Source organism: Homo sapiens, chromosome 15 (assembly GCF_000001405.40).
Source record: "Homo sapiens chromosome 15, GRCh38.p14 Primary Assembly".
Classification (NCBI taxonomy): Eukaryota; Metazoa; Chordata; class Mammalia; order Primates; family Hominidae; genus Homo; species Homo sapiens.
The window spans coordinates 70949696-70973737 of NC_000015.10; the positions used below are offsets into that span (position 1 = coordinate 70949696).

The 24042-nt window shown below is 37.2% G+C and overlaps 1 protein-coding gene across 5 annotated transcripts in view; it reads left to right on the top strand.

The window, feature by feature from the left end:
- LRRC49 (leucine rich repeat containing 49) overlaps positions 1-24042 on the top strand; it is a 200281-nt gene that overhangs the window by 96318 nt on the left and 79921 nt on the right. For all 5 annotated transcript variants that reach the window (NM_001284357.2, NM_001199017.3, NM_001363732.2 and 2 more), the window contains one exon: positions 14090-14237. In NM_001284357.2, the coding sequence (NP_001271286.1) occupies positions 14090-14237 (148 nt within the window). The remainder of the gene's footprint in view (positions 1-14089; positions 14238-24042) is intronic.

Sequence of the window (24042 nt, forward strand, 5' to 3'; positions counted from 1 at the left end):
ACAATACCTACACATCACTTCATTTGTGTGAATACAGTGTAGTACTTGGCACACAGTAAATTCAAGTTTTACTTTTTGGAACTTTGTGAAATTTTATATTTTATATTTTGTTTTTATTTATTTTTAAAATTTTAAGTTCGGGGCTACATATGCGGGTTTGTTACATGGGTAAATTGTGGGTCGCTGAGGCTTGGTATATGAATGATCCCATTACCAAGGTAGTGAGCACAGTACCAGATAGGCGGACTTCCAAGATATGCCTTCCCCTCACCCTCCCCCATCAAGTGGTCCCCAGTGTCTTTGTTCCCTTCTTTGTATTCATGTGTATTCATCGTCTGGCTCCCACTTATAAGTGAGAACATGCAATATTTGGTTTTCTGTTCTTATGTTAGTTTGCTTAGGATAATGTCCTCCATCTGTATCCATGTTGCTGCAAAAGATATTTCATTATTTTTTATGTCTGTGTAGTATTCTATGGTGTATATGTACCACATTTTCTTTATTCAGTCCATCGATGATGGACATCTTGGTTGATTCCGTGTCTGCTGTTGTAAATAGTGCTGTGATTAACATGTGTCTTTTTGGTAGAATGATTTATTTTCATTTGGATATATACCCAATAGTGGTATTGCTGGGTCAAATGGTAATTCTGTTTTAAGTTCTTTGAGGAATCTCCACACTGCTTTCCACAATGGATGAACTAATTTACACTCCCACCAGCAGTGTATAAGTGTTCCCTTTTCTCCAATGTATAAGTATTCTCCCTTTTCACCAGCGTATCATTGTGGTTTTGATTTGCATTTATCTAATGATTAGTGATGATATGAGCATTTTTTCATATATTTGTTGGCCACATGTATGTCTTCTTTTAAGAAATGTCTGTTCATGTTCTTTGACCATTTTATAATGGGGTTATTTGTTTTTTGCTTACTGATTCAAGTTTTTTATAAATTCTGGATATTAGACCTTTGTCAGATGCATAGTTTGCAAATATTTTCTCCCATTCTGTAGGTTGTCTGTTTACTCTGTTGGTAGTTTCTTTTGCTGTGCAGAAGCTGTTTAGTTTAATTAGGTCCTACTTGTCAATTTTTTGTTTTGTTGCATTGTTTTTGAAGACTTAGTCATAAATTCTTTGCCAAGGCCAACGTCCAGAATGGTATTTACTTGGTTTTCTCCTAGGGTTTTTATTGGTTTAGGTCTTAGATTTAAGTCTTTAATCCATGTTGAGTTAATTTTTGTATATGGTGAGAGGAAGGGGTCTGGTTTCAATCTTCTGCATGTGGCTAGCAAGTTATCTCAACACCATTTATTGAATAGGAAATACTTTCCCCATTGTTTGTTATTGCTGACTTTGTCAATGATCAGGTAGTTGTAGGTGTGTGGCTTTATTTCTGGGTTCTCTATCCTGTTCCATTGGTCCATGTTTCTGTTTTCATACCAGTACCATGCTGTTTCAGTTACTGTAGCTTTGTAATATAGTTTGAGGTTAGGTAATGTTATGCCTCTGGATTCATTCTTTTTATTAGGATTGCTGTGGCTATTCTAGCTCTCTTTTGGTTCCTCCATATAGATTTTTATAATTTTTTTTCTAATTCTGTGAAAAATGACATTGGTAGTATGATAGGAATGGCACTGAATCTGTAAATTGCTTTGGGTAGTATGGTCATTTTATCAATGTTGATTCTTCTTATCCTTGAGCATGGAATGTGTTTCCATTTGTTTATGTTGCCTCTGATTTCTTTCAGCAATGCATTGTATTGCTCATTGTAGACATCTTTCCCCTCCTTAGTAAGCTGTATCCTTAGGTATTTTATTCTTTTTCTGGCTACTATAAATGGGATTGTGTTCTTGATTTTGCTGAGCCTAGACATTATTGGTGTATAGAAATGCTACTGATTTTCTTACATTGATTTTGTATCCTGAAACTTTACTAAGGTTGTTTATCAGTTCTAGAAGCCTTATGATGGAGTCTGTGGGTTTTCCTAGGTATAGAATTATATTGTCCATGCAGATAGACAGTTTAGCTTTCTGTCTCCCTAATTTAGATGCCTTTTATTTCTTTTTCTTGCCTGATAGCTCTGGTTAGGACTTCTAGTACTATGTTGAATAGGAGCAGTGAAAATGGGCATCCTTGTCTTTTTCCAGTTCTCAAGGGGAATGCTTCCAGCTTTTGCCCATTCAGTAAGATGACATTGTCTATAGGTTTATGTTATATGGGTCTTATTATTTTGAAGTGTTTTCCTTTGATGCCTAATTTGTTGATGGTTTTTAACATGAAGGGATGATGAATTTTTTTGAAGGCCTTTTCTGTGTCTATTCAGATGGTCATATGGTTTTTATTATGAATTCAGTTTATGTGGTGAATCACATTTATTGATTTGTGTATGTTGAACCAACTTTGCATCCCAGGAATAAAGTCTACTTGATCATGATGAATGAGCTTTTTGATGTGCTTCTGAATTTGCTTGTATTTTGTTGAGGATTTTTACATCTGTGTTCATCAGGGACGTTGGCATGAAGCTTTTTTTTTTTTTTCTGTGTCTCTGCTGGGCTTTGGTATCAGAATGATGCTGGCTTTGTAGTCTGAATTAGAGAGTAGTCCCTCCTTCTCAATTTTTTGAAATAAATTTAGTAGGATTGGCACTAGCTCTTCTTTGTATATCTGGTAGAATTCAACTGTGAATCCATCTGGTCTAGGGCTTTTTTTGGTTGGTAGACTTTTTATTATTGATTTAATTTCTGAACTCATTATTGGACTGTTCAATATTGATTGCTATTTTTATTGTGCTGTTGTCCAAGTGTGTGGTTGATTTTATTTTGATTTTTGAATTTGCTGAGACTTGCCTTATAACTGAGCATGTAGTCAGTCAGAGTATGTGCCATGTGCAGATGAGAAGAATGTATACTTTCTTGTTGATGGTTGGAGTGTTCTGTAGATGTCTATTAGGTCCAGTTAGTCAAGTGTCAAGTTTAAGTCCGGAATATCTTTGCTGGTTTACTGCCTTGATGATCTGTCTAATGCTATTAGTGGGGGTTGAAGTCCTGAGTATTATTGTTTGGTTGTCTGAATCTCTTCACAGATCGCTAAGAACTTTTTTTTAAAATCTGGGTGCTCCACTGTTGGGTTGGGTGTGTATATATTTAAAATAATTAAGTGTTCTTGTTGGATTGAGCCCTTTATCATTATGTAATGCCCTTTCTTTGTCCTTTTTGATCATTGTTGGTTTAAAGCCTGTTTTATCTGATGTATGAATAGCTACCCGTTTTTTGTTTCCTATTAGCCTGATAGATCTTTCTCCATTTCTTTACTTTGAGCCTATATATGTTGTTACTTGTGAGATGTGTCTCTTGAAGACCATAGTCAGTTGGTTTGTGCTTCTTTATCTAACTGGGCACACTATCCCTTTTAAGTGGGGGCATTTAGTCCATTTAAATTCAGGGTCGGTATTGGACTGTGAGGATTTGATCCTGTCATCATGCTATTAGCTGGCTATTATGTAGACTTGATCATATAGTTGCTTTATAATATCAATGAAGTATGTGCTTAAGTATGTCTTTATGGTGGCAGGTATCATTCATTAATTTCCATGTTTAGCACTTCCTTTAGAAGCTCTTGTAAGGCAGGTCTAGGGGTAATGAATACTCTTAGCTTTGCTTGTTTGAAAAGGATTTCATTTCTCCTTTGCTGATGAGGTTTAGTTTGGAATGATATGGAATTCTTGGTTGGAATTTCTTTTCTTCAAGGATATTGAAAACAGACCCCAAATCTCTTCTGGCTTATAAGGTTTCTACTAAAAGGTCCATTGTTAACCTGATAGGGTTCCCTTTGTAAGTTTTTCTCTAGATGCTTTTAAGATTTTTTCTTTTGCATTGACCTTGGAGAATCTGATGACTGTGCTTTGGGGATGATCATCTTGCATAGTATCTCACAGGTGTTCTCTGAGTTTCTTGAATTTGTATATCACCCTCTCAAGCAAGATTGGGAAAATTTTCATGGACTATATCCTCAAATACGTTTTCCAGGTTGCTTGTTGTTTCTCCTCTTTCTGGAATGCAAATGAGTTACAGGTTTGGTCTCTATGTAATCCCCTATTTCTCAGCTATTCTGTTATTTTTTTAAATTATTTTTTCTTTATTTTTGTCTTCCTTTGTTGCTTCAAAGGAGTGACCTTCAAGCTGTGAGGTTTTTATTTTTCATTTTTATTTATTTATTTATTGAGACAGAGTCTTGCTCTGTCTCCTAGACTGTAGTGCAGTGGCGTGATCTTGGCTCACTGCAACCTCCACCTCCTGGGTTCAAGCGATTCTCCAGCCTCAGTCTCCCGAGTACTTGACTCTACAAGCATGTGCCACCATGCCCAGCTAATTTTTGTATTTTTAATAGAGATGGGGTTTTGCCATGTTGGACAGGCTGGTCTCAAACTCCTGACCTCAGATGATCCACCTGCCTTGGCTTCCCAAAGTGCTGGGATTACAGGTGTGAGCCACCATGCCTGGCCAAGCTGCCAGATTCTTTTCTCAACTTGGTCTATTCTGCTTTTAATGCATCCAATTGTATTTTGAAATTCCTGGAATTTTTCATTTCCAGAAGTTCAGTTTGGTCTTTTTTTAAATGGTTATGTCATCTTTCAACTGTTGGGTTGTTTTACTGTTTTGCCTGGGTTGGGTTTCAACCTCTTCTTGTGTCTCAGTGTGCTTCCTTATCATCCCGATTCTGAATTCTCTGCCTGGCATTTCAGCCATTTCATTCTGGTTAGGATCCACTACTGGGGAGCTAGTGTGATCATCTGGAGGTAAGAAGACATGCTGGTTTTTAGAGTTGCCAGAGTTCTTGTGCTGGGTCTTTCTTCTGTGACAGCTGATGATTCTTTATTATTTGAAGTTATTGTCCTTTGGGTGAGGCTTTTTGTTTTTATGATCTTTATTGCCCTTAGGGTTTTTTGACTGTGGTGTAAGCTGGATATAGTTGAATCACTTCATTTCTGGATGCTTTTAGGGGGCAAGACTCAGCTCCATACTGCTGGGATGCATGCTCTAACCCTGTGGGACTGGGACTGGGTCAGCAGCTTTGTCCTCTGGTCTCTCACTGTTGAGCTTTGGCTGGGATAGAGAGGCTGGGGTGTTCCCAGACCATTGACAGGGCATGGGTGTAGGTGCTCCAGCAGGGGCAGCAGGGGCACTGTGGGCAGGATATGCTCCAGTGGGCAGGGCTGTGGGCGAAAGGCACTCTGGCAGGGGCACTGAGGGTGGGAGGTGCTCTGGTAGGGGGCACCGTGGGCTTGGGAGGTGTGCTCCAGCAGAAGTGGTGGAGGCGTTGTGGCCGGGAGGCACTCCAGCTTGGGGTGCTGTGGGTAGGGTCGCTTCTGCAGGGGGAAACCATGGGTGGGTGGGTTGCTCTGGCTGGAAATGCCGCAGGCAGGAGGCCTGGAATTTACTTTTTTTTAAATCTGAGGTTGATTGAATTCATAGATGTAGAACACATGGATATGGAGGGCCAACTGGACCATATTTTTACTGTTATTTTAGAGTGTATTCTTACTTATCAAAAAAAAGTTAACTGTAAAACAGCCTCAGGCAGGTCCTTCAAGAAGTATTCCCAAAGAAGGCATTGTTATCTTAGGAGATGACAGCTCCATGGATGTTAAAGCCCCTGAAGACTTTTCCCTGGGACAGTTGTGGTCTGTGGTTACAAGTAATAAGGGAAGAATTTTCTACCCTTTCTAGTCTTAGCCCCAAGCTTTGAGATAGGCAATATTTCAGGGGCTGTCAGTAAGAAAGTTTATAACTAATCCAGTTTTGAGGGTCTTGCTCTTAGGGTCCCAGATTTATCAACAGGTGTCTACTAGTTAGACTCTCCAACTTGAGTGGCTCCTAGGATTGTCTTCTATCTCTCAGCCTTGAAGATCATGTAAACCAAATCTCAATTTCATTAGGTTTAGCAAAATGCCATCACAGCATAAAGGTCAGTTTCTACATTCTATTTACCTCTCTTGGTTCCTACGTTTATTTATTGATTTAGTTTTCTATGTAGTCCTCATTTGTTTTTTTTAGCAGATCATGAATGCATTTGAGACCAGTAGTTTTAGTTCATCATTCTCTCAGAATACAAACACCTGTATTATGTGTACTTTTCTTTAACTGTGCATTACTCTTTAATATTTGATCATATATTATACATCTTTCTAGTTATTTTATGTTTGTCAGTTGTGTATATTTCAGTCCTTGTGAGCACGCTTGATGATTTATTCTATTGTTCCATTTCACTTCAGCCCTCTAGGCAAATAGTAACTATTCAGAAAAATCCTCACTGATCAATATAAAATAAGTGGCTTTTCATTAAGATTATTTCAGAGATCATGGTACCTTGCTGGTATAAAAGAGTAAAAGCCCTTTTTCTAAAGTACTTAGCTTACTTAGGGGAGGAAAATTTCTAATTGGAGAAATTTGACTGATATTTAGGAATTGTTAGTTAAATATCTATGCTGTGTGATACATGCATATATGGGAATTTTATTTCTTTCTCTGTATTTTATTAAGTAAGCATAAAATGGACTAAAATATTTTCTTTTCCTTTCGGGATATGAATTTTGGTCAGTAGGGACAGACTGTTTCTCTATAGGTTCTTTAGCAGATAGGAAGCAGATGTGGCAATGTGAGGAGACTACTAGGGGAAGAACAAATGTATGAGTAATCTGGAAAAAGATTAAAGTCAATTATAAGTTAAATGTCAGCCTTTGGACCAAAGCTTTTTCATTCTTGGTACTCTAAAGAGATGAGAGCAATTGAGTGTTCTTAAACCCTCTGCCAAAAAAAAAAAAAAAAGGTGGGGTGGCGAGAGAGAGAGACTGTTTTTAAAAGCCAGTATTTCACTATACTTACTGTTTTATTTCCAGGTGTTTTTTTTTAAACAGTCTGCTTTTGATTTTGTTTGGTTAGGTAAAATATAACCCATCATTAGCCTGTATTTGTACTTAAGAGTATTGTTTTATTTGGTTAGAGAATGTCTTTAAAATCATATGGTCTTTGTCAGTGAACTTCTAGGAATGTCTGGCATGGTTATTGGTCAAATGCCTGGCAGATGGAAATGAAATTTTGTGAGGAATCTTCTGGATCAAATACAGATTTATTTTTACTTTAATAAAACTATTCAAAGCATAAAGACTTCAGTCTGAGTGTCAACAGTAGTAGCTGATGTGGGAGCAGTTGCCCGGATAGTACTTGCTGAGGACTGCAGTGATGTTCCCATTCCTGATGCCACTTTTTTGTTGTGCTTGAATTACAGACATAGACCATATGGGCATCTACAGGTCTTTTAGATCTCTGAAGTTCTTTATAATGTATACTGGGCATACTGTTTTCTTCTATACATAAAAAAGTGCTTTGTATTTAATTAAATGAAGATACTGTTTAGTTTTGTGTGTGACACCACCCATTCTTAGACCAATTCCATTGGCAATTATTAGATCAATTTAATTCCCCAAAGGAATACTTGAGAGACAGGGCTGAGAACAGTTACAATCATTTTAGTTTAAAATTCTACTTAGCAATGAGAAACAAATGATAGACTCTACAATCTGGCTTGTAAATAAATAGTAAATAGCAATAAAATTAGAATCTATCTATAATAAAATTAAGTTTTCCAGCTTGTCTATGCTTTTGTACATATTATTTTCACTTTTAAGTGCATCTGCCTAATTAGTAATATATAGGGTCATAATGCTACTTAAATATCATGTTATCCTTTAAATAATAATTCCAATAAAAGTGTAAGAAAATTCACTCATTCACTTTTTTTTTAATCAAGGATAAGCCTTTTGGAATTATTCCAGTTCATCACATTTTTTTCATTCATTCACCGAAACTTTATTGCACACTTACTAAAGATTGGTCTTAAGTTAGGTGTTGGGGCAGTGGTCACAGTATCTTTCCAGTCTTCAAGAAACTTACAGTTTAATTCTATTGAGTTAGGTTGAGTATTGGAAAAAAAAATGCTCTTCAACATCTACTGGCTCTGTTACCTCTGCTCTTCACATTAGTTAATACCTTAAGGTGGAAATTAGTGAGCCCATCCTATGGTAGTTGGAGGAAAACTTAGTGAAAACCCTTTTGAAATGTATCTTAATGGCCATTGGCCACCAACATAACAGTGTTCCAGGAAAAGGAGACTTGATAGATGAAAAGATAATCTGTCAAATATATATTTTTTATAGTTTAAAATTTCTCTGTAAATTAATTTTTAAAGATATAATTTACATATAATAAAATGCACACATTTTAAGTGTAGAGTTCAATGAATTTTGACAGAGTATGTACCCTTGTAACCATAACTCTAGTTGTTCACCTGAGAGAGAAACTTGGAGTTATTCTGGATTCCTTTCCTTATCACATCCAAATGATTACTAATTTCTGTCCATGCTACACTCTAAACTTCCATAGAACATCTCCCCTCTTTACTCTCCTGACTACTACCTTGGTTTTTGACATGTTAAGCCCTGTTTTTCACCTCTGTTACCGCAATCTGCTTTATAACTAGCTTTTGATTCTTATCTCTTTTCTTTTTCGTATACCCTTCATGACGTTATTAATTTGTGATTTTTCTAAAATACTATTCTGATCATATTAACTGCCTTGCTTAAAATCCCTTCATGACTCTTTACAGTTCCCATTCTTAATTATTGTTTTGATGGTGGCATCATTTATCAAGTAGAAAATACACATAGAAAAGCAGATTTGTGGAGGGAAAGTGATGAGTTAGTTCACTTTAACAAAGTGGAAGAAATAAAACATTGCCTTCAGAAGCATTTTTATTTGATTCAAGCTTTATGTACACAACTATGGGGGAAGGAGAGAAAAGCCATCACAAATACCAGAAACTGTTCTGAGATTTTTATACTGATGAAGAAAATGAATTTTGGCAATGCTGGGTAGGAAAAATTATGTTTGTTCAAGCTTGTTTATACTTTAAGTGATGATTAAGTTTAAATTTATAAACTCACATCTTCACCTTCATATACTAGTTTGTTAAAAAATGCCTTCCAATATTTATCTAAACATGTCTCAAACACTATGAGTTGCGTATAAATTGTGAGGTTTACCTTTTAGATTGGTAAAGACAAGCTCTGAGGTAAAATAATTAATAGCAGGGTATCTTTTTACCTTGAGTGTGAGGAAAACATAGAAGAAATATTTAAATATGACAATAAAAGCAGTGAACTTTATTCTTGCTGTAGAACTTGCCTCAACCTTGTTAGTACCTACATTATTTTCTATACCATGAATATTCTATATCATCTAGCTTTTCTTGACACAGTGAGAAGAGATATTTAATTTAGTGCCTGAATAAATAAAGTATTTATAGTACTATAAAGTACTGGTAATTTAGTGCCTGAATAAATAAAGTATTTATAAAGTATTTGTGTACTGAATGAGAATGACTCTAATATAAATGAGTTTTACCAAGGTGCCCTGTGGTATTATTTAGAAAAGTGATTATTTCTTTAAAAAATAAAAATCCCGGCTGGATGCGGTGGCTCACGCCTGTAATCCCAGCACTCTGGGAGGCCGAGGCGGGCGGATCACCTGAGGTCAGGAGTTCAAGACCAGCCTGGCCATGGTGAAACCCTGTCTCTACTAAAAATACAAAGAATTAGCCGGGTGTGGTGGTGCATGCCTGTAATCCCAGCTACTCGGGAGGCCGAGGCAGGAAAATCGCTTGAACCAGGGAGGCGGAGGTTGCAGTGAGCCGAGATTGTGCCATTGCGCTCCAGTCTGGGCAACTAGAGCAAAACTCCATGAAAGAAAGAAAGGAAGGAAGGAGGGAGGGAGGGAGGGAGGAAAGGAGGGAAGGAAGGAAGGAAGGAAGGAAGGAAGGAAGGAAGGAAGGAAGGAAGGAAGGAAGGAAGGAAGGGAGGGAAATTCCAGTCAAAATCCCATAGGTTATTTATAGATATCAACAATTGGATTCTAAAGTTTATATGAAAAGGCCAGAAAGAAAGAAAATCCCAATCAAAATCCCATAGGTTATTTATAGATATCAACAATTGAATTCTAAAGTTTATATGAAAAGGCCAGACCTGGAATAGTGACACAATACTGAAGAAAAAGTTAGAGGAGTCACACTAACCTTTTGCAAGACTGTTTTGTATGGTTAAAATAAACAGATGATCAAAGTATGTTTTCACAAATCACACAGTTTATTGCCATACAAAGAGCTTATCATTTTTATTCATAATGCTCAAAGAATGGAAGAATAACAGGAAGAAACATCATAGGGAATATACTCAATAGATAAAGTACATTATCCACATATTGGATGAGTTCCAATTTAGTTTAGAGTCCAGTTTTTAAAGTCTAGTTGCTAAATTAGGATGGAAGCTTGCCTCTGTGGATGTAAAGTCTAATCAAAGTTTGGAGAGTACTTTTCTATAAGTGGTTTCAGGAGGGATGGTTTGATCACCACAGTGTACATCCATAACAATGTGCAATGTCCCTCAACACTAACAAGCAGTGCCAGTGTTACTGGGCTTTGGAGGATAGTTCAAAGGCTGACAGAGAGCAACCCTGCTAGTCTGATATTTTGGTCTTTGGAGAAGTGTCTGACATAGAGTAGCCCTGACAAAGCCTAAGTTATCAATCTGTCAAAATCTTGGGTTTATATGTGTTTTTAAAGTCCAGTCGTTGAGCCCAATAACTCATGTATGTGGTCTGATGAGGAGTGATATAACAATCTTACAGGGAGAGGAATTAAACTTCATGTTCTTATCAGAGCAAAACGTGTATCATTCATGTAGTAAATAAACTAAGTGTTTAAATCATTTCAAAGCTATATAATAAAGATTCCTTATAAAACTACAGTAATCATGACAGTGTGGTATTGGTGAAAGAGTAGACACATGTATCAATGGAACCAAATAAAAGGCCCAGAAATAGACCCATACAAATATATTCAGGTGATCTTTGATAAAGGAGCAAAAGCAATTCAATAGAGAAAGGATAGTCTTTTCAGCAAATGGTAATGGAACAATTGGATGTCCATATGAAAAAAAGGAATATAGACATGGGCCTTACACCTTTTACTAAATTAACTCAAAATGGATCATAGACTTAAATGTAAAACACAAAACCATTAAACTTCTAAAGAAAACTTAGGAGAAAATCCAGACAACCTTGGATTTGGCAATTAGTTTTTAGATACAGGACCAAAAGTAGGATCTATGAAAGAGAAAATTGTTAAGTTGGGCATCATTAAAATTAGAAACATCTGTTCTGTGAAAGACACTGTTAAGAGAAGGAAAAGACAAGCCACAGACTGAGATAAATATTTGCAAAATATATATCTAATAAAAGACTTGTATCCAAATTTTAAAAAAATCTTAGAATTCCACAGTAAGAGAAGAAAGAATCCAATTTAAAATAGGCAAAAGAGCTGAAAACACAAAGAAGATACATGGATGGCAAGTATGCATATGAAAAGATGCTCAGCATCTTTTGTCATTAGGGAATTGCATATTAAAACAGTGAGATACCACTATGTACCTCTTGGAGTCACTGAAATTCCAGAACACAGATACCAAATGCTGGTGAGGATGGTGAGCTGTTAAGATTGCAAGATGATACAGCCACTTTGGAAGATAGTTCGGCAGTTTCTTACAAAGCTAAAATAAACATAGTCTTACTGTAATATACAGCAGTTATACTCTTAGGTATTTATCCATTTGAATTGAAAACTTATGCCCACACAAAAAGTTGCAGGTGAATATTTACAGCAGCTTTATTCATAATCAACAAAAACTGGAAGCAGCCAAGATGTCCTCAGAAGGTGAATGGATAAAGAAGCTATGGTATATCCATACAATGGAATATTGCTCAGTGATAAAAAGAAATGAGCTATGAAGCCACAGAAAGACATGGATGAAACAAATGCATATTGCTAAGTGAAAGAAGTCAATCTGAAAAGGCTACATATTACATGATTCCAATTATATGACATTCTAGAAATGGCAGAACTATAGTGACAGTAGAAAGATTTGTGGTTGCCAGTGATTTGGGAGGAGGAGAGAAGATCAAATGGCTAAAGTACAGCAGATTTTTCTAGTGTCATGAAACGGTTCTCTAAGATACTTTAATGGTGGATACATGACATTAAGCCTGTAGAAATTTACACAATTAAAAAGTAAGCCTTAATATATGCAAATGTTAAAAAATCACTTAGGAGTTTAGAGGATCTCAGAAAGGAATGCAGACCGACAAGAGAATCTAACTGTATTAAAAATGTATGAAACAACCTCCCTAAGGGGGTGGGGGAAAAGGCACTGATCTAAGAAACTTCGGAAATGAGCCTGTAAGACTAAATGGAAAAGCAATTATACCTAATCATTGTACTTTAGTTGATAAAGTTGTTTCTCATTGGGGGTACACATTAAACATTCTGATACCTCTATACATACATATTGGAATTGAATAATTAAGTAAATGGAGAGTTGATGGTTTGAAGCCAAACTTCTTGTTGAAGTAGAAATGTTCAGATAAGCAAGGGAAGGAGGCTAGAATGATTCATTTGGTGATGGATTAGAGTTGGAGACATCAGTATAAACTCATCTTTAGCTTAATATAGACACAGATGGCACAGATGGACAGATGGTTACTTAGAGAAATATTTATAGATATATGCATATACACAGGTTTCTGTACACACATATATTTTCTTGCTGTGTCAGCTGAGAGGGACTAAAGGAAATGACCCCACAGTAGCAAGAAGTACACTTAGCCCCCAGATCTTTGTTTCTAATACTAGTCTCCAATAAAAGGAACTATGGCTCCTCAGAAATGGCCGATTCTAGGACCAGGACCGGAATTAGTCTAGAAAATACATGAGTATAGAAAATCTTATAGTGCCAGAAAGTAAGAAAGTGCTCAGAAAAAGAAAAAAAAAATCCACATCGATGGGAACCAAAGGGACATAGAAGCCAATTGAAAGAGCTTCCAATGGCCAAAGCTGGAACAATTTGAACAACAAAATAGTAAAATTGTATTGGATAATAACCCAAAGCATAGAATAAATATCCATGAGTTCAGACTCTGTGTCCTCAAGGAGGAGGAGCTTAACTTCCCACTCCCTGAGTGTGGGCTGTACATGGTGACTTCCTTACAAATAGTTGAGTATGAAAAGGAGAGGATGCAATGGTAACTTTACATTGGAGAAACCTGAAGAACATAACCTCAGCCTCAGCCTTGAACATGTTGATCAGGGTCAACATCAACAGTAATAAGTCATATTAATAATATATACCACCTGGGCATAGTGGTCATGCCTGTTAATTCCAGCACTTTGGGGGGGCAAGGTGGGAGGATCGCTTAAACAGGAGTTCGAGACCAGCTTGGGCAACATAGTGAGACGCTTTTTATTTTGTAGACAAAATAAAAAGTAAAACATTAGCCAGGCATGATGGTACATACCTGTAGTTCCAACTACTTGGGTTGCTCAGGTGGGAGGATTGCTCGAGCCCAAGAGTTTGAGGTTAGGATTAGCTATGATTGCACCACTGAAACCCAGCCTGGATGACAGAGTGAGACCTGGTCTCAAAAAAAAAAAAAAAAAAAAAAGTAGGTATCTTAACCCCCATCTAATCATGAGAAAAATATCAGACAAATCCTAATAGGGGGTCATCCTACAAAATAACTGATGAGTATTCCTCGAAACTGTCAACTCATCAAAAACAAGGCAAGTCTGAGAAATTGTCACAGCCAAGAGGAGCCTCAGGAGATATGACAACTAAATGTAATATGGTATCCTCCATGGGATCCTGGAACAGAAAAAGGACATTAGGTAAAAACTAAGGGAAACCTGGATAAAATACAGGCTTTAGCTACTAAGAATATGTTTACTTTGGTTGATTAATTGTAACAAATGTACTATACTAACACAAGATGTTAGCAATAGGGGAAACTGGGTATGGGGTATAGGGGAACTCTGTACTATCTTCTCAATTTTTCTGTAAATCTAAAACTGTGCTAAAAATAAAGTCTATTAAAAATGAAAGTATTATCTTAAGGCCTCAGAATAATCCAGTGGTTTCTGTCTCTCCTGCAGTTTTGACAGTGTTTCCTGCCTTGCTGACTCTTCTTCCCTCTCGGACATCACCTTTGATGGCAATCCCATAGCTCAAGAGTCATGGTACAAACACACTGTCCTTCAGAATATGATGCAGCTGCGCCAGCTAGATATGAAGAGAATCACGGTGAGAACCCTTCCAAAGTGTTCACCATGTTGTTGTCCTTAGTGTGGATTAGGAAATTGGGATGCATATTCTTTGCTTGAAATGCTTCTTAATTTTAGTGAACTATGGGTTATCATGATTGTATACTTCATAATTGCAATTATGTAGTTTTTACTGCCTGATCCCATCCCAAGTTTAATTGAGCAAGACTTTTAAAATTCCTAGCCTTCTGTTTAAATTAATCATCGTGTTTATTTTTCATTCTTGCTTAATATCCAAATAATAATTTATTTTGAAATGAATGAGTGAGAATTTCTTTAAGTTATGTAGCATAGTGGTTAAGAGCATGGACACTGGAGCCAGATTGCCTGCGTCTGAATTCTGGCTTGACTGCTTTCTAACGATAGTCCTTTGGCAATGTATTTAATCTTTGTATACCTCATTTTCCTCAAAGTAAAATGGGGATCAGAATTAAGTCATAGGTTTGTCGCGAAGATGAAATAAAGTACTACACCTTAGAAAATAAGGTACTACACTTTAGACTGCGAGGCTCCTAGGAGGCATTTGTATGTAGTTGTTATTGTTGATGTTATATCTCCCAAAGTAGCTACCTCTTTTTATTCATCGTATCTCCATGTTAAGATATTTTCTACACTTAGATGTTTTAATATGGTTTCTGATCTAAGGAAATGCTGTGCATAATATCCCCCTCTTTTTAGGTGTACAATGTGTATTAGCATATTATAGGATCCAAGAAGTTCTGTAATTAAATAAACTTGTTTAACTTTGTTTCTTTGACCAGGTTTATTTGTTATGAGAAAACACATTTTAATAATCTCAGTTTGATAGTCTCTGACCTAGAAAAATATCCTAAGCCTCTACCTATTTTCTCTCTTCTGGACTGCTGATTTTCATGTGAATTCTGTTGATCACCTAGGTTTATGCAGTTGCCAACTGACCTATTTCTTTGTATATTAGCATCACAATGTGTGCAGTTTTCATTTATGCGTTGGCAATACTGTGGACCTCTAAGGTGGCTAGCTAATAGCTAAAAGTGTGGATGAATTGATGGATACCAGAGGTCTTCTAGGGTTCTGCCTCTCTCTCTATTCCATGGTGGAGCTATGGTTCTTTGTCCTCTTAGTTAATTCAGCTCTATAGTGTCAACACTGTTTCATATTTTTGTGGTGACTCTTTACCCTTATCTCCATGTCTTTCTTAGTTAAGCATCTATGCTACTTCTTAAATTGCTCTTTCTAATGAGGTTGAGATGAGTGGGATAAGATTTAGAGCTAACTCGTTTATATAAATTAGTACTTAATTATATGGTATGTTCCTCATAGTGAATTTATTTGTCAGTCTTGTCTACCCAAACAATATATAGTCTTTAAAGGCAGAAACCATTCTTCTTTCTTGCCTGGCACCTACAGATTACTAGCATCTAATTCTCACACCACATTGAACTTTTACCAGTTATATCAATATTGTTCTTTACAGCAAAAAGATGCAGTTTAAAATTATACATTGCATTATAGCTGAATTTTGTTGTCATGTCTCTAAAGTCATCATTTTTCTGGAACTATTTCTCAGTCTTTCTTTGATTTTCATGACTGATATTTATGAAAATTACAGGTTAGTTTTTTTGTAGAATGACCCTCAATTCAGATTTTTTGATGTTTCCTCATGATTAATTTTTACTTATAGGTTTTTGGCATTAATATCATAGCAGTGATTTTGTATTCTTCTCATTGCATCTTAGACCAGCATGTCTTACAACATGTTCTTCATATTTATCTCTTTATTGAGGATGCTTACTTTAGGATGATTTCTGCCAAGCTTTTCTTTGTGAAGATTCTCTTTTTCCCTTTGTAATCCCATTCCTCATAAAAATGTAAATTTATTCATTCATTCATATCTATATGGACTTATGGTATTTAGTCTCGTCTTTTATTTATAACTTTTTAGTAACTTTAGTGTGGAAGCTGTACCTTTTTTAAGGACTTTTTATAACAAATGTCAACAAACAGCCTGTGAGCTGGCTACCTGTTTTTGTAAATAAAGTTGTATTGGAACACAGTGATGCCCATTCATTTATGTATTATCTATGTTTGCTTTGATGCTGCAATGGCAGAGTCAAGTAGTTGCTATGGATACTATGTGGCCTACAAGCCCAAAATATTTATTATCTGGCTGAAAAAGTTTGCTGATGCCAGTAACTATTTTTTCTCTTTAAGAAACAATATCTTAATTGAATTTTTGTGTAAATTACCATATAAACATTCTCACTGTGGTGGATTACACAAATATTTAATGAACTTCTGTGCACTGGGGCAGTGGTTCCTAAACTGCGTGCAGAGGATGCTGCAGTGAACTCATAGGGAGTGATTTTTAACTTCCAGGGGAAACACAGTGAGATTTGACATCTCTGAGACTGTGGGCAAATTAGTAGCTCAAATAGTTTACCATTTCAACATGACCTCACACTATATTTGTTTCAATCACTTCCTATCTTTGAAAAGCTGAATTTTCAGTAGTTGTTGTAATAAAAATAAATACCTTGCCAAAATCAGTATCGAACAGGAAATGGGGATGGCAGTGTCCAATGTGATTCTCTGTTTGAGAAATTGTATAACGTCCTCCTGGTTCTACACATTCCATTGATAAGTAGTTGTGGTTATTTAAAAATGATATAAAATATTTTTTCTTTCTATTTACATATATTATTTTTTAATTGCTACTAAAGTGCTAGACCATGAATACTTATTAAATTGTTTGGACCAAACTACTTAGTAAACAGAGTTGTCACATATTTCTTTTGGCCTAGAGGCACTGTGAAAAAATCCCTGAGACTATTAGGTATCTTGAACTCACGAGTTTCTGTACTAGGATATATATTAGACAGTAGAGATGAAAAGATCAAAATCACAGTTCATGCCCTAAAGTTACTTGCAGTTGTCTGCAGAGGCAACCATGCAGCTGGATTACAGTGCAAAATGACAATCTAGAGAGATAAGATTACTAGATGGATCAATAGAGATATATGTTTGTGTCAACACACTTACACCCAGGGCAAAATGATATCAAAGAGCAAAGCAATCCCAAGTCTACCTGAAAAACAGAAAAGTTCCAAAGGAGAAAATAATTGACTCAAGACTTTAAGGGTGGTAAAGAAGAAGGAGGATGTATTTGTGGAAAATAAAGGCATGCAAAATGCAGAAGGAAGCTGAGAGAATATAGCAGCTGACAGGAGTTCAACATGGCTAAGCATTGAGTGTACATGGCTGAGGGACATAGAAGGAGACAACTATGTCTGACAGGCAAGGACAGGCAAGGACTAGGGCATTTTATATCATAATAAGGAGTTTAGATTTTTGTCTTGGACATAATAGGAGAAACCCTTGAAGAGTTTAAGGTAGTTAAATTGGATTTGCCTATTAAGAAGACTGTCTTTCTGGGTTCAGCCTTGAAGATAGATCGGAGAGGATGCGATGGGTGATGAGATGAGAAGCAAGGAGATTAATCAGAGTAAGAGTCTGGGAATCTGATCCAGAGGAATGGCAAGAGATAATATGATGCCATCTATCACTGGCCTCAACTCCTATTTTGCTTTATCTTTCTTCAGAAGAAGGGGTTTTAGTTTGTAAAGATTAGCATAAAGATTAATAAGATAAAAGTGAAGCTTAGGATAGGTAAATAAATAAGTTGGAACTCAGGCCCACATCTAGAGCAAGGGTTGGCAAATTTTATCTATAAAGGACCTGATAGTAAATATTTTAGGCTTTGGGGCCTGCATATTGTCTGTTGAAACTACTCAGTTTGCCCATTGTAGTATGAAAAAAGGCATGGACAATACATATATGAATAAGCATGATTCTGTTCCAGGAGAATGTTATTTAGAAAAACAGGTGGCTGACTTTGGCCTGTGGCCTAGAGTTTGGCAGTCCTTAATCTAGAGCACTGAATAAATCGCTGAACCACTGAGAGTTTTGTCTAGGTAGGGTTATAGAATAATGGAGCAGCTGAAAGGTAAGATGAAGTAACTTTTTTTTTTTTTGCAATATTGCTTTATTTATTTATTTGTTTATTTTTGATTATACTTTAAGTTCTGGGATACATGTGCAGAATGTGCAGGTTTGTTACATAGGTATACAGGTGCCATGGTGGTTTGCTGCACCTATCAACCCGTAATCTGCATTAGATATTTCTCCTAATGCTATCCCTCTCCTTGCCTCCACACCCCAACAGGCCCTGGTATGTGATGTTCCCCTCCCTGTGCCCATGTGTTCTCATTGTTAAACTCCCATTATGAATGAGAACATGCAGTGCTTGGTTTTCTGTCCTTGCAATAGTTTGCTCAGAATGATGGTTTCCAGCTTCATCCATGTCCGTACAAAGGACATGAACTCATTCTTTTTTATGGCTGCATAGTATTCCATGGTGTATACGTGCCACATTTTCTTTATCCAGCCTAAGATTGATGGGCATTTTGGTTCCAAGTCTTTGCTATTGTGAATAGTGCTGCAATAAACATACGTATGCATGTGTCTTTATAGTAGAATAACTTATAATCCTTTGGGTATATACCCAGTAATGGGATTGCTGGGTCAAATGGTATTTCTAGTTCTAGATCCTTGAGGAATTGCTGCACTGTCTTCCACAATGGTTGAACTAACTTACACTCCCACCAACAGTGTAAAAGCATTCCTATTTGTCCACATTCTCTCCGGCATCTGTTGTTTCCTGACTTTTGAATGATCACCATTCTAAATGGCATGATTTGCGTTTCTCTAATGTGGTTTGCTTTGCATTTCTCTAATGACCAGTGATGATGAGCTTTTTTTCATGTTTGATGGCTACATAAATGTCTTCTTTTGAGAAGTGTCTGTTCATATCCTTCCCCCACTTTCTGATGGGGTTGTTTGTTTCTTTCTTGTAAATTTGTTTACGTTCCTTGTAGATTCTGGATATTAGTCCTTTGTCGGATGGATAGATTGCAAAAATTTTCTTCCGTTCTGTAGGTTACCTGTTGACTCTGATGATAGTTTCTTTTGCTGTGCAGAAGCTCTTTTGTTTGATTAGGTCCCATTTGTCAATTTTGGCTTTTGTTACCGTTGCTTTTGGTGTTTTAGTCATGAAGTCTTCGCCCATGCCTATGTCCTGAATGGTATTGCCTAGGTTTTCTTCTAGGGTTTTCATGGTTTTAGGTCTTAAGTTTAAGTCTTTAATCTATTTTGAATTAATTTTTGTGTAAGGTGTAAGGAAGGGGTCCAGTTTCAGCTTTCTGCATATGGCTAGCCAGTTTTCCCAGCACCATTCATTAAATAGGGAATCCTTTACCCATTGCTTGTTTTTGTCAGGTTTGTCAAAGATCAGATGGTTGTAGATGTGTGGCATTATTTCTGAGGGCTCTGTTCTGTTCCATTGGTCTATATATCTGTTTTGGTACCAGTACCTTGTTGTTTTGGTTACTGTAGCCTTGTAGTATAGTTTGAAGTCAGGTAGCATGATGCCTCCAGCTTTGTTCATTTTCTTAGGATTGTCTTGGCTATATGGGCTCTTTTTTGGTTCTAAATGAATTTAAAGTAGTTTTTTCTAATTCTGTGAAGAAAGTCAATGGTAGCTTGATGGGATTAGCATTAAATATATAAATTACTTTGGGCAGTATGGCCATTTTCACTATATTGATTCTTCCTATCCACGAGCATAGAATGTTTTTCCATTTGTTTATGTCCTCTCTTATTTCCTTGAGCAGTGGTTTTTAGTTCTCCTTGAAGAGGTCCTTCACATCCCTTGTAAGTTGTATGCCTAGACGTTTTCTTCTGTTTGTAGCAATTGTGAATGGGAGTTTGCTCATGATTTGGCTCTCTGTCTATTATTGGTGTATAGGAATGCTTGTGATTTTTGGATATTGATTTTGTATCCTGAGACTTTGCTGAAGTTGCTTATCAGCTTAAGGAGTTTTGGGGCTGAGATGATGGGGTTTTCTAAATATACAATCATATCATCTGCAAACAGAGATAATCTGACTCCTGTCTTCCTATCTGAATACCCTTTATTTCTTTCTCTTGCCTGATTGCCCTGGCCGGAACTTCCAATACTATGTTGAATAGGAGTGGTGAGAGAGGGCATCCTTGTCTTGTGCCAGTTTTCAAAGGGAATGCGTCCAGCTTTTGCACATTCAGTATGATATTGGCTATGGGTTTGTCATAAATAGCTCTTATTATTTTGAGATATGTTCCATCAATACCTAGTTTGTTGAGTGTTTTTAGCATGAAGCGGTATTGAATTTTTATCGAAGGCCTTTTCTGCATCTATTGAGATAATCATATGGTTTTTGTCATTGGTTCTGTTTATGTGATGGATTACATTTATTGATTTGAGTATGTTGAACCAGCCTTGCATCCCAGGGATGAAGCTGGGTTGATCGTGGTGGATAAGCTTTTTAATGTGCTGCTGGATTCGGTTTGCCCCTATTTTACTGAGGATTTTCGCATTGATGTTCATCAGGGATACTGGCCTGAAATTTTCTTTTTTTGTTGTTGTTGTGTCTCTGCCAGGATTTAGTATCAGGATGATGCTGGCCTCATAAAATGAGTTAGGGAGGAGTCCCTCTTTTTCTATTGTTTGGAGTAGTTTCAGAAGGGATGCTACCTGCTCCTCTTTGTACCTCTGGTAGAATTCAGCTGTGAATCCATCTGGTCCTGGGCTTTTTTTGGTTGGTAGGCTATTAATTACTGCCTCAATTACAGAACTTGTTATTGGTCTATTCAGGGATTCAACTTCTTCATGGTTTAGTCTTGGGAGGGTATATGTGTCCAGGAATTTATCTGTTTCTTCTAGATTTTCTAGTTTATTTGCATAGAGGTGTTTATAGTATTCTCTGATGGTAGTTTGTATTTCTGTGGCATCAGTGGTGATCTCCCCTTTATCATTTTTTATTGTGTATATTTGATTCTTCTCTCCCTTCTTCTTTATTAATCTGGCTAGCAGTCTACCTATTTTGTTGATCTTTTCAAAAAATCAGCTCCTGGATTCATTGATTTTTTGAAGGGTCATTCGTTCTCTATCCCCTTCAGTTCTGCTCTGATCTTAGTTATTTCTTGTCTTCTACTACCTTTTGAATTTGTTTGCTCTTGCTTCTCTAATTCTTTCAATTGTGATGTTAGGGTGTCAATTTTAGATCTTTCCCACTTTCTTCTGTGGCCATTTAGTACTATAAATTTCCCTCTAAACACTGCTTTAGCACCCAGAGATTCTGGTACATTGTGTCTTTTTTCTCATTGGTTTCAAAGAACTTCTTTATTTCTCCCTTAAATTCATTATTTACCCAGTAGTCATTCAGGAGCAGGTTGTTCAGTTTCCATGTAGTTTTGTGGTTTTGAGTGTGTTTCTTAATCCTGAGTTCTAACGTGATTGCACTGTGGTCCGAGAGACTGTTTGTTGTGATTTCCATTCTTTTGCATGTTTTACTTCCAATTATGCGGTTGATTTTAGAATAAGTACGATGTGGTGCTGAGAAGACTGTATATTCTGTTGATTTGGGGTGGAGAGTTCTGTAGATGTCTATTAGGTCCACATGCTCCAGAGCTGAGTTCAAGTCCTGAATATCCTTGTTAATTTTCTGTCTTGTTAATCTGTCTAATATTGACAGTGGGGTGTTAAAATCTCCCATTATTATTGTGTGGGAGTCTAAGTCTCCTTGTGGGTCTCTAAGAAGTTGTTTTATGAATCTGAGTGCTCCTATATTGGGTGCATATGTATTTAGGATGGTTAGTTCTTCTTATTGCATTAGATCCCTTTATTATTATGCAATGCCCTTCTTTGTCTTTTTTGATCTTTGTTGGTTTAAAGTCTGTTTTGTCAGAGACTAGGATTGTAACCACTCCTTTTTTTTTTTTTTTTTTTTTGCTTTCCATTTCCTTGGTAAATCTTCCTCTATCACTTTATTTTGAGTCTATGTGTGTCTTTGCATGTGAGATGGGTCTGCTGAATACAGCACACCAATGGGTCTTGACTCTTTATCCAATTTGCCAGTCTGTTTCTTTTAACTGGGGCATTTAGCCCATTTACATTTAAGGTTAATATTGTTATGTGTGAAATTGATCCTGTAATTATGATGCTAGCTGGTGTTTTTTGCCCATTAGTTGATGCAGTTTCTTCATAGTGTCGATGGTCTTTACACTTTGGTTTGTTTTTGTAGTGGCTGGTACTGTTTTTTCCTTTCCATATTTAGTGCTTCCTTCAGGAGCTCTTGTAAGGCAGGCCTGGTGGTGACAAAATACCTCAGCATTTGCTTGTCTGTAAAGTATTTTATTTCTCCTTCACTTATGAAGCTTAGTTTGGCTGGATATGAAATTCTGGGTTGAAAATTCTTTTCTTTAAGAATGTTGAATATTGGCCCCCACTCTCTTCTGGCTTGTAGGGTTTCTGCAGAGAGATCCAATGTTAGTCTGATGGGCTCCCCTTTGTAGATAACGCAACCTTTCTCTCTGGCTGTGCTTAACATTTTTTCCTTCATTTCAACCTTGGTGTATCTGATGATTATGTGTCTTGAGGTTGATTTTCTTGAGGAGTATCTTTGTGGTGTTCTCCGTATTTCCTGAATTTGAATGTTGGCCTGTCTTGCTAGGTTGGGGAAGTTCTCCTGGATAATATCCTGAAGTGTGTTTTCCAACTTGCTTCCATTCTCCCCGTCACTTTCAGGTACAGCAATCAAATGTAGGTTTGGTCTTTTCACATAGTCCCATATTTCTTGGCTGCTTTGTTCATTCCTTTTCATTCTTTTTTCTCTAATCTTGTCTTCACGCTTCATTTCATTAAGTTGATCTTCAGTCTCTGATATCCTTTCCTCTGCTTGATCGATTTAGCTATTGATACTTGTGTACGCTTCACGAAATTCTTGTGCTGTGTTTTTCAGCTCCATCAGGTCATTTATGTTCTTCTCTAAACTGGTTATTCTTGTTAGCAGTTCCTGTAACCTTTTTTCAGGGTTCTTAGCTTCATTCCATTGGGTTAGAACATGCTCCTTTAGCCTGGAGGAGTTTGTTACTACCCACCTTCTGAAGCCTACTTCTGTCAATTCGTCAAACTCATTCTCCATCCAGTTTTGTTCCCTTGCTGGTGAGGAGTTGTGATCCTTTGGAGAAGTGGCATTCTGGTTTTTGGAATTTTCAACCTTTTTGTGCTGGTTTTTCCTCATCTTCGTGGATTTATCCACCTTTGGTCTTTGCTGTTGGTGACCTTTGGATGGAGTTTTTGCGTAGTTATCCTTTTTGTTGATGTTGATGCTATTGCTTTCTGTTTTTTCCCTTCTAACAGTCAGGCCCCTCTTCTGCAGGTCTGCTGGAGTTTGCTGGGGGTCCACTCCACACCCTGTTTGCCTGGGTGTCACCAGCAGATGCTGCAGAACAGCAAAACATTGCTGCCTGCTCTTTCCTCTGGAAGCTTCATCCCAGAGGGGCACCCGCCAGATGCCAGTTGGAGCTCTCCTGTATGAAGTGTCTGTCAACACCTGCTGGGAGGTATCTCCCCATCAGAAGGCAGGGGGGTCAGGGACCCACTTGAGGAGGCAGTCTGTCCCTTAGCAGAGCTCGAGCACTCTGCTGGGAGATCCGCTGCTCTCTTCAGAGCTGGCAGGCAGGAACATTTATGTCTGCTGAAGCTGTGCCCACAACCGCCACTTCCCCCAGGTGCTCTGTCCCAGGGAGATGGGAGTTTTATCTATAAGCTCTGAGTGGGGCTGCTGCCTTTCTTTCAGAGTTGCTGAGCTTAGAGAAGAGGAATCTAGAGAGGCAGTCAGTCTGGCTACAGTGACTTTGTGGCACTG